A 13,824-nucleotide genomic window follows, 5' to 3' on the forward strand; every position below is an offset into this window, starting at 1 on the left:
GGTTTCTTGTTCATCCGACGCGGTTGATCTTATTAACGCATATGTGTTTGTGTTGATGTGGCCTCCAGCTTCTGTCGCACTGTGGACACAGTTGGATGTGGCTGCTAATCAATGCGGGGCTCCGTAGGTCAGTGAGAGCAATCAGAGCCTGCTGTGCGGTGGCATCCCCGAGTTAAGACAGGCTTTTGTCCCATACTCTATTGAAACACCCAGAAATGCTGACATGTTGAAGTTAAGGCCATGTGCCTTGGTGCTACTTGCTTGCGAAACAGCCTTTGAAGGAAAAAGGAGGAGGAGGATCCATGAGTTTCAAGGGTCCCCTCCTGTAATCACGGCTGCCACTCAACGGAGTAAGTAATGTGTAGCGGGCCCTCTATCTGCATGACGAATCCTCCTAACATTCCTGTGGGCGAGGTAGGATTTGTCTCGCTTTGCAGCCGAAGAATCAGAGCCTCAGAAAAGTTAAGAAATCTTCCCTGGGTCAAGCTGGTAGGAGGAGGGACTGGAACTGAACTCACATCTCCACCTCCTCTCTTCCTACTCCTCTGCCTTTCTTGCACCTAGAGCAGTGTACAACATCAACAACTGACCAGGGCGATCCTAGAGGTAAGAGACAGCCGAATGGCACGGACCCAGCCAAGCCCAGGCCTGCCCAGGTGGAACAGAGCCAGCTAGGAGCATTCGGTAGCAGAGGTCAGTCCGCTGATTGACTGTTCTCACTTCCAGGCCCACAGCCTCCTCCACCCTGATGGTCTATGAGTCTAGTGCGGCCCTTTGCACAATTTTAGCAACTGAACCCTTTTCCTCACAGAATTGTGATACCGTCCTAACATATGAAGCATATATAAACAGTTGGGCAAATCATAATAGTTTCCATTATTTCATAAATTTGCATTTGTGGCACCAAGGAGAGAATTAATGGGAACAAGAGGGTTCTTGTGTGAGTTCCGCATTTGGATTTGGGGGTTCGAGGTGGCAGCTATAGGCTCACATTAGTGTCTGCATCACTTTGCTTCAGTTTGTCACGGTGGCCCCCCAAATCCAGAACCGCCCTCCTCGCTGTGTGAGGAGGGTCCTGCCTGCACCGCTTTGCAGACATGGGCCAGCCTGGATGCCTGGGCGACGCTGCCCTGCGACTCGCTGGCCTGCAGGACATCTGCAAAACATTCAGGTCTCACGGCAGTGGCCATGAACGGCCTCACAGACACTGAGTGGACCTGACCCCAAAGAGAATGCGTCGTCCTTGAACGTGTCGATATTTAGGTTATTACACAATGAGTGTGTTGCTTTGCAATTAGTGTCTGAAAGAGTTAGAGCAGATGTACATATAGAAACGAAGAAACGAAATCTGAATCCATGCTGACAGATTCCCCCTCCCCAAACCTTGCTCAAGGTAACACAGGCGACCAGGAGCAAGTCCCGGCCGGCCCCCTGCTAGCGTGGTCTGAGTGGCCCAAGCAGGACCCCTGCCCAGGCTCACTGGACTCTCCTGGAGCCCCCAGACACGACACCCTTCCTCATCACTGAAAATCCACTTCCACAGTGTAGGAGATGCATGGATCTGAGGGCCAGTAGGAAGTGCTGGAGCTTTAGGCTTTAGACATTCTTTTTTTTTTTTTTTTTGAGACAGGGTCTCCATTTGTGGCCCAGGCTGGGGTACAGTGGCGTGAGAAATTCTTTAACACTCTGCCGAGTCCTGGCCCTTGGGGAGTGAGGCCTGGCTATGAGGCTTCTTGTCAGAACTCCGTGTGACTCTCAGGATGGAAGAACAGGGTGGGGGCTGCTCCTCCCCTCCCTCCCTCCAGCCCCTGGCCTTTGTAAAACGGCTCCGCCTACGCGCCTGTAGCCAGTGCAGAACCAGGGAGGCCTCTCCCCTTCCCTTCCCAGGAGGGGCCCCGCCTTGTCCTCCATGCCGGATTCTGTTCGTCCTCCCCCAGGTCCTCTCTGCTGCCTCCCACTGCCCCATTTCCTCCAGGAACCTTCCTCTCTCCTACCACCAGCCTCTCTCCTACCCCCAGACACACACTCTTTACATGCCGATTTCTGTCCTCTGGTTAACTGGCGTTTAATTTTCTCAGCTGCTTGGCTTAATGCCAAAGAGTGTTCTTCCAAATAAAAATGGTAAAGACCTTTTTTCTCCCATGAGAATTTTATGTAAACGCAGTGCAGCATGCTCGTAGGCTGGTTCTGTTATCAATTTCTAAGCTCAGCTTCCAGAGCTAGAGAACTTTTTTATTGGTTATAAAAACCCTACATATTCAGTGCAGAAATTCTGAAAAATGCAGAACAGTATCAGGGAGAAAATAACTCATCCCCCACTACCCAGAGAAAACCGCTGTTAACACCGAAGTGCCACAGTTGCTGGCGTTCTCACACAGGTGTGCGTTTAGGAGTGTGTAAGTGCGTGTAAGTGTGTGTCTGGCTTTCTTTCACATAATTTTGTGTCCTGATCATTTTCACTCAGCATTACATCAGCAGCGGTTTCCAATATAGCATTAAATTGTCTTCAAAAACATGATTTTAATGCCTCTATAAAGTTCCATCATGGAGGCTCACTAAAATGTAATCACTTCATTGTTTATGAGATACTCAGCTTAATTCCATTTCTCTGCAGTGAATAATCCAGAGGAACACGCTCAGTGTGCATCTTTGCTTGCAGCAGGGCAGCGCAGGGCATTGGTTGGGGTATAAATCCGGGGGTGCAGTGGAGATTAGATTAGATCGTCCGTGGAAAGCACCAGAATGGTGCCTGGCACTTAATAAATGCTCTTATTAGTATGTTTATCTTCATTATGTCCCTAAGAGCCATTCCTGGAAATGAGACTGTGAGTCAAAGGGCACAAATACCGCCAACCTGCTTTCCGACAGCGCTGTGTGGATACACGGGCCCGAACGGCGCCAGCCTCACTGCCTCTGCGTTAGTGCCGCCACTTCATCTCAGATACTCTCCTGAAGATAAGAGGAGAGTCCCATGCAGCCATAAGAAAGACAACGGAGAGATCTGTGTACCCTCCACCCAGTCTCCCCTACTGGGACTGTCGTGCAAAATTATGGCCCAGTCTTACAACCAGGGTATTGACAGCGAGACAAGCCCCCATCTGATCCAGATTCTCCAGTTGTACTTGCTGATGTCGTTTAGATATTTGTCCCCGCCAAATCTCATGTTGAATTGGTATCCTCAGTGTTGGAGTGGGGCCTGGTGGGAGGTGACTGGATCGTGGGGTGGGTTTCTCACAAATGGTTTAGTGCCATCCCCTTGGTGCTATCCTTGAGATAGTGAATTCTTGCAAGATCTGGTTGTTTATGTGTGAAGGTAGAAGGCATCTCCTCTCTCTCCCTCACGGGTGTGCACGCCTCCCTTCATCATGTGATATGCCTGCTCCTGTTTCACCTTCCATCCTGAGTGAAAGCTCCCTGAGGCCTCCCCAGAAGCCCAGTGATGTCGGTGCCATGCTTATACAGCCTGCAGAACTGTGAGCCAATTAGAAATTGGCTTTATAAATGACCCAGTCTCAGATATTTCTTTATAGCAATGCAAGAACAGCCTCATGCACTTGTACTCACTTGAGCATGTGCACTTACTTCTGCACGATGTTCTTGCCTGTGTAGACTCTTACATCCACAACCACAGTCACAGTCTAGAACATTCCATCGCCGCAAGGCTGCCTCTTATAACCAACCACATCCCCTACCTGCACCCATTTCCAACACCCCATGCCTAACTCGATTTCCAGCACCCCGTCCTGGTGAACATGAATCTGTTCTCTATCTCTTCAATTCCGTCATTTCAAGAATATTATATAAATGGGATTACACAGTATGTAACCTCTTGAGACTGGCTTTTTCCAACTGGCATCATTCCCTTGAGATCCATCCAAGTGGTTGTGTGCACCTTTTCCTTGCTGAGCCGTGTTCCATGTTGTGGGCCGACCCCAGTTTAGCACTCGCCCATTGGAGGGTTGGAGGGCATCCGACTCATCTCTAGTGTGGGGCAGTGCGTCACCTTCTCACAATTGTCAACGGGATTGTCACTAGTATTTGCCTTCCATGTCTTGGAGGCCAATGTGGCTGCTCTTAGAAATCAGTCCTCCTTATTTTGGTTGGGGAGATTTCTGATGTCAGTTTGACGTTTATAATTAATAAGCATCATCATCAAGTTACAAGAGTAAATAAAAATATGAGGCAGGGTGAAATGTAAGATGCTCGAGAGGCTGAGATCAGTAGCTGTGTGAATACAGCAGGGCGGGCACCAGCAGTGAGCTCCACGGGGCCCAGCGTCCGGCCTCATTAACCAGCTGCCCTTGGGGAGGAGCAGAGCCCGCTCTTCCCTCCTGGGGAAGGGTAGTGTGATGGAAAGACAGGCTGCCCTTCTCTCCTGCAGGAGCTCAGCATCATGCTGTGTACATGCCTGGGCTCTCTTCTTCAGCCCTAGCCACTTAAAACCACTTGGAGGGAAAGATTGTAGAATAATTATAATGAGGAAAATTTCGCTCCAGATTCGTTACTCCAAGTTCAGAGAAGCTCTGTAAAAATTGTTGCTAAGGCAATTGAATAAAGAATGTCAGCCGATGTAAGCGATAACAGCAAGACAATGAACATAATTGCATGTTTTACAACAACCAACCTCAAAGCATGACTTCCCTGACATAGATATGTTTTTTAATGATTTTGAAAGGTAACACAGACATTTTCAGGGATTTGGAGAGGAAACTAATGCCATCCTGGTTTACCAGCTTTATGGGGTCATCTCTCCGGTGAAAAAGACTGCAGCCAGCCTTGCAGAGAGGGCGCTGTCTTAGGGAGGCACCTCCAACTGTCCCCGCGACCCAGCCCCTAAGTGCTTCACATCAACACTGTTCTTTTGTGACGGTGCTGCTGTCTTTCATTCGCCAGCCTGTCATGCTCAACTCAAACCTCAGTTGCCATCCAGTTATCTTTTTTTTTTTTCTTGAGATGGAGTCTTGCTCTGTTGCCCAGGCTGGAATGCAGTGGCACAATCTTGGCTCACCGCAGTCTCCACATCCCGGGTTCAAGTGATTCTCCTGCCTCGGCCTCCTGAGGAGCTGGGACTACAGGCACATGCCCCCACGCCCAGCTAATTTTTGTATTTTTAGTAGAGATGGGATTTCGCCACACTGGCCAGGCTGGGCTCAAACTCCTAACCTTGGGTGATCCACCCACCTCAGTCTCCCAAAGAGCTAGGATCACAGGCGTGAGCCACTGAGCCCAGCCTAGTTATCTTGTTTGTCCAGGAATTGGAGCATTTCTAGGTAGCACCACAAATGTCTGTGCAAGAAACCCACAATTTCCAGTGGTCATTGGCTTTGTGCCAATCCAAACTAGAGTCTGACAAACCCAGCAAGAAATATTCGCGGCAGCTGCAAGGAAGCTCCTCAAATAGAAATAGAAAAATGAACCAGGGTCTGCTCTTCCCTTCCGGGTGTGGAATCAACGGAAGCCGACTCAACACAGAGCCCTGGGGGCGTGAGGGGTTTGGCGGGATCTCTGCCGGCTGCAGATCTCTGCTCTGTTATTACCAGCCCTTCTGCCCAGCTCCTAATTGCTCTGAAGAGGGAATAATTTTCTCAGCAGCCATTGCCAGCCACATTTGGACTGAATAGATGCTGAAATGGCAAGGGTAAATGGGGCAGAGACAGTGAAAAGCCATTTTCTATCTGGAGCCCAAATAAAATCTTCCTCCCACACTCCTGCCTGGCTCCTCCGCAGCCTCAATGCCCTTCTGAGAGCTGCCTGCCCCAGTAGGAGGCCAGGCTGGGACCAAGGACACCCAGTTCTGGGTAACCATCTTCCCATGGCTCCTTGGACAACCACCTTAAAGAAGGGAAAGGCAAGAAGCAGAAGGAAAGCAGAGGCTGGACATTGGAATCAGCCTTTCTTTAAACTAAAAAAAAGTTTTCACATATGTGAATGCGTGTGTGAATTTGAAGTCGTATGTGGAAGGGGCCATATATCCGTCAATGCATGCTCCAAAAATCAGAACTGATGGACGGCAAACAGCATCGGATGTGCAGCCAGCATTCTTCCGGCGGCCACCTCCCGGGGGAAATAGGTGCAGCAGACAGGACCGTCTGTGGGACGGGGACAGGCAAGCATGACAGCAGGTACCACAGATCAGGGTGCACAGACAGGGCTGGGGGAGGCAGCGTGGCACGGCACCCACTTCCCCTCGGCGTGTCTGGGCTGAAGCCCAGTGGACTCCCGCTGATCAGAAGGATCCTCCACTAGAAGGATCTCACTGGACGAGTCCCCTCCAAACTGGAACATGCAGGTGCCTTGGGCTTCATGCTGCACCTTTCAGATAAAAACACACAGGTGAGCTGGGAGAGCTGGAGTCCCATGGACCCCAGAGATCCAGGTCACGAGGAGGGGATCGCGCTGCACCAGGACACATTCACCAAGGTGAGCCCTGGTTCCTCCCCACAGGCTGTGGGCAAGGAAGTGTCGATGCCAGGCTGGCTCAGTAGGTGGAAGAACCTTCCGGAATGCCTGCCCGCAGGCTGCTGCTGGCATCGAGTCTGTGTCCTATTTTCCATTCACTGCATGCATCCTCCAAGTATGATTTCCACTCGGAACCCTGAGCTGCCTCATCCCTCGCTCCGTCTCCCCTCCCTCCCGCCCAGCTCACACTGAAATCACGCCTCGCGTTCAGCGGCTGGAGTCCTGGTGGATTGCTGCTTCGGGGCTCTCAGAAATCCCTTTACTTGAGTCTTGGTTTTACAGGAAGACCATGAAGCACCCCCCAGGAGCTGGAGCTCCTCCTTCTGGACCCAGTGTCTCTTCTCAGCCTCACGACGAGGAGACCTGCTCATGGAGCTGCTGCGCCGGCCTGAGCTCTGATCCCTCCTCCGACCCAGCCTCACCCTGCAAGCAGCACCATGTGGGGCTCAGAATGGGGATCTTAAGGGACCCTTCCCACAACCTCCCGATAAGCCTTTCCACGGAGGGCCCAAGCGGAGACAGGAGAACACTGTATTTGATAAAATAGAGTCAAATCCAGGAAAATGCCTCTGGACCCGGAAAGGAAACGACTCACCCCCCACCCATGAGAGACCCTTCTGTCCTGTCCCTTAACCCAGAGGCCCTGGGCATGGGTTTCGCAGCCCCCTGGAGGCCAGACCCTCAAACTCCAGCCTTGTTTCTTCTAAGTGTGCCAGTCAAGATGCTTCTCACTGCAAGAAACAGACTCTTTCTCAAGCCAGTTCAAGAAGATCTGCGTTGCTGCAGAGGCCGATGGGTGTGGGGAGCAGGCTCAGTGAGAGACTGTCGTAAGGAGGCTGAGAGGTCTTCAGAAAAATCCCCAGGACCTGGGGTGCCAGGAGCCTGGGCGGGCCTGGGCTCTCGCAGCCTGCAGCCCCTCCCCTCCCTCTCACAGCCTCCGCTGCCCCCGGGCTCAGGGCCCCTGCCTGTGCCTTCTCCTGAGGCTTCTCCTTTTTACCTCTCAGGGTCCCAGTGTGGCCAGCCCGGCACTAAACCCATGCGACCCTGGCTCACTGACAGTCGCCACCAGCTCCACATCTCTCAGTAAAAGTTCCCCCAAAAGAGTGTGATTGGGAGCTAGCCAGCGGGGCTTAAGGCAGCCCCCTGCTCCAGTCCCCTTGGCCATGGAGACAGGGCAGGGTTAGCAGGAGGCAAGGCATGCGCAGGACAGCTGGCCGGCAGAGGTCCCGTGTGCTGTCATGGGTGCAGGGTGGACACTGTGACCCTGGGTCCCCCACTTGGAAGGGGTGATCTAGAGGGACTTTTGTCAGAAAGACCCCCACCCAGCCAATCTGACTGATGGGGCCATCACCTTGACAACAGGCTTGGTGGCAAAGCAAGAGGGTACAACCGACCAGAGCCCCGGGTCCCCTGTGCCCTCCTGCACTGCCTGACAGGGCTGGGCCATGGCCCGTACCAACCGTGAGCTGAGCCAGGAATCCAGTCAAACCGTGTGCCTGAGTGACACGTAGCTCTCTTCCTTCTCTGGATTCACTGCTGATCAACCCCAACAAGCAGCAGGACTGTCTTGCTGTGAACCCACCGCTTGCGGACCCCTCCCCAGGCCTCCATTCCCGCCTTTCTGAAGGTCAAGGCAGCGCCCTCCCCAAGAAACGGTGGGAACAGAGGAGCCAGGTGTTCGTTCTTCCCAGCTCCGGAAACGCTGCAGATTGCGCACTCGAGTTCCTGCTGACATAACAGTGGCTGCCAGACAAAATGTGGCGAAAAGTTTTTCTAGGTGCCTTTGTTCACTCAGAGACTTCCTAGAGACTTGTGTGAAAATCACAGGATTTGCAACCAGTGGGGACGTTGAGATTCGTGGCAACTGAAATGATACAAACTTGAACTTTGTGTCAAACCAGTAGTGTTTTGTGTAATTCTTTTCAAACCTGTCATTTCACTTACTGCTTCTCACAGCCCCAAGGGGCAGGTGGAGTTGATGCCATCAACCCTATTTACAGAATGGTAAACTGAGGCTCCCACTGGTTATGCGCTTGCCCACAGGGTTGAAAGAGAAGCCATGGACAAAAGGAGTCACTGGTTACCCAAAGGGCTTCCTGTTCTCAAATCCACTGCTCCTTCCATTACGTGGTGTCTAGAAGGAGGCTCTTTTGGATATAGACATTAAATAATCTGGGAGTCAGTGTATGCTGTGATCAAGCATGTGCGGTCCGCAGCCGATGGCCCAGGATGCAGTCCTGATGTACACTTCTGGCTGGGTGCGTGGGAGCCACACACATCTCTGTGTGCCTTGGTTTCCGTGTGTAAACATCTTAGACTAGTGCTTGCCTGTGGTTGGCACCTGGTAAGTGTCAGCCTTCTCTAATGTAGGCAGCTTGAGGGCTCCCAGACAGTGATGTTCCCGCTGACATTCCCAGGTCTCAGCTGATTATGAAGAGGCATCAATTTCCAGTGGGGGAGCCGCCCTCTGTCTCATCATTTGTTTCTCTCATCTTGCTTTAATATCACAGCACTGCCAGTCAAACCACACAAAAGGGTTTGTGATGACCTGCCGTGCATTCTCGTAAGCTCCAGCCCTGACTCGCCTGCAAGCCAGAAGCCAACATAAAACTTTCGTTTTTCCCTTAATCTTGCTGCCTCTGCATCTCATTTTCAAATTTCATTTTATCAACTTTTTTTGCACTATTTGTTTCTGGATAAAGGATTTGCAAAATTCTTCAGCATGTGGTCAGGAAGCCCTATGGCCTCCTGACGAGGCAGCCTAGGGGTCCTCCCGTGGTCTGAAGCTGCAGCCGGGCTGGCCTCCCACAGTCAGGAGCAGCATCAGGCTGGGTGCTTCTGACACCAGCGAAGAGCGCGGCTGTCCAAGCCCCCATCCCTAGGGCTCACGCCTCATGCCCAAACTCGCACCCACTTTGGCGCCGCTGGAGACTAATGAACAGCAAAAGCTGAAGTCATGACTCTCATCCAGATCTAAAATGACCGTGTGTCAAACATTTTTACTGAACTGATGAATCGAATGGGAACTGGTAAGAAGGTACGACCAGTTCAAAAGAGAAATCCAAGAACCCTAAATGTATAAGGAGTGAAGCAATGTTGAAATGGACTTACAAACGGATGCAGCTATATTCTCCAGTGGAGACAGCCAGTGCCAACTTTTGTGCTTATTCCAAATTTCCTGACAGCCTCCCCACCTTTTTTCCAACATAATCTCAAAGAGAGATTATTCTGGATGGCAGAATAAGGCTGGTCCCCCTAGGTGTGGCATCCTTGCTTGCATAGAGGTGGCAAGAGTGCCACCATACCAAACAGGCCTTTTTCAGTTTGTTTTGCTGGAAGACCTCAGAAGATATCAGAAGCAAAAGCCTCTGTTGTTTGCTATCCTAAGGTTAGGAAGCCAAGCATAAAAAGCTCTCCTCCAGATTTCACCGGCAGTACTTATAAATTTGATGAACCCCTCTCTTCTCAAGGCCCCCACGATATTCCAAAACCCTGGCCTGCCAGAGTAGAGCCTTTTTTCCCATCTTGGAGGCTGTGACCCTGAGAGCCCCTACCCTCCCCCAGGGGACTTTGTGGGCATGGACGTTGCACAGTCACCCTCGGCCCCTCAAGAGCGGTCACAGCCCAGCAAATGAGCGTCGTTCTCACGCACGTCTCTCAGGCTTAGGCTCGGTTGCATAAACCTTCCCCAATTTTATCCTGGCAAGGAGGAGGACAGATCCTTCCGGAACCTTTGCAGATATTGCCACCAAAAGTAAAGCCTTCATAAAAGTTTGCATTTGGGGAGGAAGGAGAGCAGATGGTGAAAATCAGATATCACTTAAGAATTACTCATTTCAGTTTACAAAAAATCTAGGTCGTTAAAGGTGACTGATAGCTTAAGAAGACAGGGAAAGGGCTTCATAACAGAGCCGGAAAGTCCAACAGTACAACGACACGCATGATGCCAAAAAGTAAAGCGTTCCTCACTCATTCCACTCAGTGCTCCGTAACTGATTCTCCACTGGCTCCTGGGCTGCAGCCTCATGAAGCCAGCTGTTCCTCAACTGAAAAGAGCCCTGGAAGCCCTGGGCAGCCCACTGGCAGGGTCTGAATATCATCTGAGCGAGGCCATCAGAAGCTGTCCCCAGGAGTCTGTGCTTGGGGGTCAGTCATCGGAGGTGCTTACTGCGGTCCTTTTCCATGGGGCTCGAAGCTTCTGCATTGAATCACGAGCTCTGGCCTCCAGCCTGGTGCAGAACCTTCCAGGGGGCATTGGAGTAAAAGCTTCTGTAGATGACAGCTACCCCTTTTTTGGTCCATTTTATAGCAGAGGAAATTTAGGTTCAAAGAAGTTGAGTTGAGAGTCCCAGGAGTAAGAAGCAGTCAAGGATCCCCCCAGGCCTCCGGGGCCGCCTGGGCTGCCTGGCCTCACGACCTGGCCCCATGCTCCTGAGATGGAGAAGCCCCAGGCCCATGAGCCTGTTGCCCTTGGCAAAGCCACTTCCCTTCTGAGTAAAGTCAGACGAGCCTGCCCAGTCCCAAGAGACTGCGATTCCGTAATCGCCCTCCCCTCGCCTTTTGAGGTCTTGCTGGTAGGTGCACCCCCTTCAAGCCAGCCCAAGGAGCCATGATTTGAGTCGGTCTTGCCAGATGTGTCTGGAGAGAATTTAACTCCAAGATCATCCCCCGTGCACTCTGAGGGGCTGGGACAGGATGTGGTGCCCTTTGTGCCCAGGAGGAGAAGCACCCAGTGGGGCGGGGTGGGGCGAGGACTTTATAAAGGCGTCATTTGCTGCGGCCACCCAGGTTGGAACACAGGGACCACAGGGCCCCCCGCCTTCTGCAGGACCACCCCGCTCATCTGAGGGAGACACTGTAGAAACACATCTTTGAGCAGTGGCTTCTAATCCAAGAAACCCAATAGAAGTCAAACGCAGATTCCTAGGGCCCAACCCGGACCCACTGCGTGGGAATCCCTCAGCCGGGGCCAGAAGCACGCTTTGAAGACACCAACCTCCTCAGCAAGCCTCTTGCAAACCACATCCTGCTTCTCCAGAAGCTGCAGATCCAGAATGTTCAAAGAAAGAGCCCTCCTTGCCTTCCTCTTCTTCCACCCCTGCCCTCTGCAGACTGGGGTTCTGTAGACCCCCAAAGTAAGTCCGCCACACCGGAAGGAAGTGAGTTACACAGGGGCCCACATGGGAACCGCTTTTTGTCCTGTCTTGGTGGGAAAATGGCCACGACCCCAGCCCAGGCTCTGCCACGCCACAACTCCACGGGCATAGCCTGGGAGGCCGCAGCGTGAACTGTGACTAGGGCTGAGGATGGTGCCATGGTAGAAGTGAGGGCCTGGCACCCGGCCAAGTGCAGGACTCCTCGGCAGTGGGGTTGGGAGAAGCAGCCTCTGCAGGCGAGGCCAGGAACCAGGACACAGGAGGAGAAGCACATCTCAGAGGAGGGAGCTCTGGGAGGAGCCAGCAGAGTCCTGCAAAGGAGGATGTGGGGGAAATGGGGTGAGGCCAAAGTGGGGGCTGCTGAAGGGGCTACTGCACCCGTGCGAGCAGGGCCAGGACCAAGCTGCATAGGCAGCCAGGGACACAGCCGATGCCACAGACGTCAGGAACCACGCAATGACACAGGCCACCTTTGACCGACCGTTACCCCTGGGGCAAATACCAGTGGGGATAACGGGCAAGGAGAGGTGCTGTTTACTGTCTTATTGTTGCCAGTTCAGCAGCCCACAGGAAATGGTGTTAGTCACAGAAAAAAAAAATCTGTTTTCTATATTTCACTGTTTCCAAGTAAAGAAAAAAGAAAACTAATCTTAGCTTAAAAAAAAAAAAAATGGTGCGCTGGGCACCGAAAAATAACCATCTTCCTAGGCCTGCGTTTCCCCCACACCGGGGACTTGTGCTGGAAAGAAAAGCTGCGTTGGCAGCCAGGAGCCGGGGAAACTGTCCAGGGAGGCATCCTCTGCGATGAAGGCGGGGCCTCGGCGTGGCCCGTTCCGCGCTCTGTCCAGCCCTGGAGAAGCCCCACCCTCACCGAGCTCGAAATACCCCCTCCCTGAGAGCCGAGACTCATGGCCGGGACCCCTTGGACAGAAGATGCGGATGCTAACCCGGCGCTTCCACCACAGCCCCGGCGGCACTGGGGAGCGAGCGCGGCCATCCCGCGCGTAGGTGGTGTTTCTCTGCAGGCGCCAGTTTCACCGCGGGCGCCCAGGATCCTCAACGGTTCTGTTGTGATGTGATTCCCCTCTTCGACTTCGTCATTCAGCCTCAGTCCCTCAGTCCCCAAATACCGAAAGGCAGTCTTTTTTTTTTTTTTTTGAGACGGAGTTTCACTCTTGTTGCCCAGGCTGGAGTGCAATGGTGCGATCTCGGTTCACTGCAACCTCCGTCTCCCTGGCTCAAGCGATTCTCCCGGCTCAGCCTCCCGAGTAGCTGGGATTACAGGCACCTGCCACCACGCCCGGCTAATTTTTTGTATTTTTAGTAGAGACGGGGTTTCACCATGTTGGCCAGGATGGTCTGGAACTCCTGATCTCAGGTGATCCACCCGCCTCTGCCTCCCAAAGTGCTGGGATTACAGGCGTGAGCCACCGCGCCCGGCCTTTTTTTCTTTTTTCTTTTGAAGTTAATGAACTTGAATTTTATTTTATTTACAGAATAGCCCCCATGAGATACTTGAAGACCCGGTGCCAAGCGACAGTGTTGACCCCAGGTGGTCAGTCCTGCCTGGCCCCTTCCGAGGGATGCGCCTTCACCATAACCATGTCACGGACAGGCGTGTGGGCAAGGGGGCATCGCTGTATTTTTCACAACTCTTTCCACTGAACACGACAATGACATTTTTCACCACCCGTATGCATCAACCAAATGAAAAGATGAGCCTGTGACATTCCCGTGCGTAGAGTTACAGCTTTTCTTTTCAAAACGAACCTTCAGTTTGGAGCCGAAGCGGAAGCACGTGGCGTCTGACGTCTCCAGGGAGACCCGCCGCCCTCGCTGCCGCCTCACCGCGCTTCTGTTTTGCAGGTAATCTTCAGCAAGTACTGCAACTCCAGCGACATCATGGACCTGTTCTGCATCGCCACCGGCCTGCCTCGGTGAGTGCGCGCTGCGGGCTCTGCCCGGTGACGCCACGCGGCCTCCTCGCCTTTTCGGGATGGCTGGGAGGGGCGGGAAGAGGCGCTGAAGGGCCCGAGGCACCGGCCTTCTACAAGGGGCTCTTCGAAATCAATCAATGCGCAGAATCCCGAGGGAGGCTCAGCCGCCCTCCGGGCCTCTCTGCCTCCACAGGTGATGGCTGTGTCCACAAGGAGGAAACCGTCGGGCTGAATTAAACAGAACCGCCCTCCTAAGAGTGTGGGTTTTTCTG

General features: G+C 52.7%; 1 protein-coding gene across 23 annotated transcripts in view; it reads left to right on the forward strand.

Moving 5' to 3' along the window:
* PDE9A (phosphodiesterase 9A) overlaps positions 1-13,824 on the forward strand; it is a 121,889-nt gene that overhangs the window by 19,090 nt on the left and 88,975 nt on the right. For 9 of the 23 annotated variants that reach the window (NM_001315533.2, NM_001001570.2, NM_002606.3 and 6 more), the window contains exon 2: positions 13,482-13,552. The exons of the other annotated variants lie outside the window; for them this stretch is intronic. Coding sequence is in view for 6 of the 9 variants with exons in the window: in NM_001001570.2 (NP_001001570.1) it covers positions 13,482-13,552 (71 nt within the window). In the remaining 3 variants the exon portion in view is untranslated. The remainder of the gene's footprint in view (positions 1-13,481; positions 13,553-13,824) is intronic. 23 annotated transcript variants of the gene reach the window in all.

The sequence above is a fragment of the Homo sapiens genome, chromosome 21 (assembly GCF_000001405.40).
Source record: "Homo sapiens chromosome 21, GRCh38.p14 Primary Assembly".
In the NCBI taxonomy this organism is placed as follows: Eukaryota; Metazoa; Chordata; class Mammalia; order Primates; family Hominidae; genus Homo; species Homo sapiens.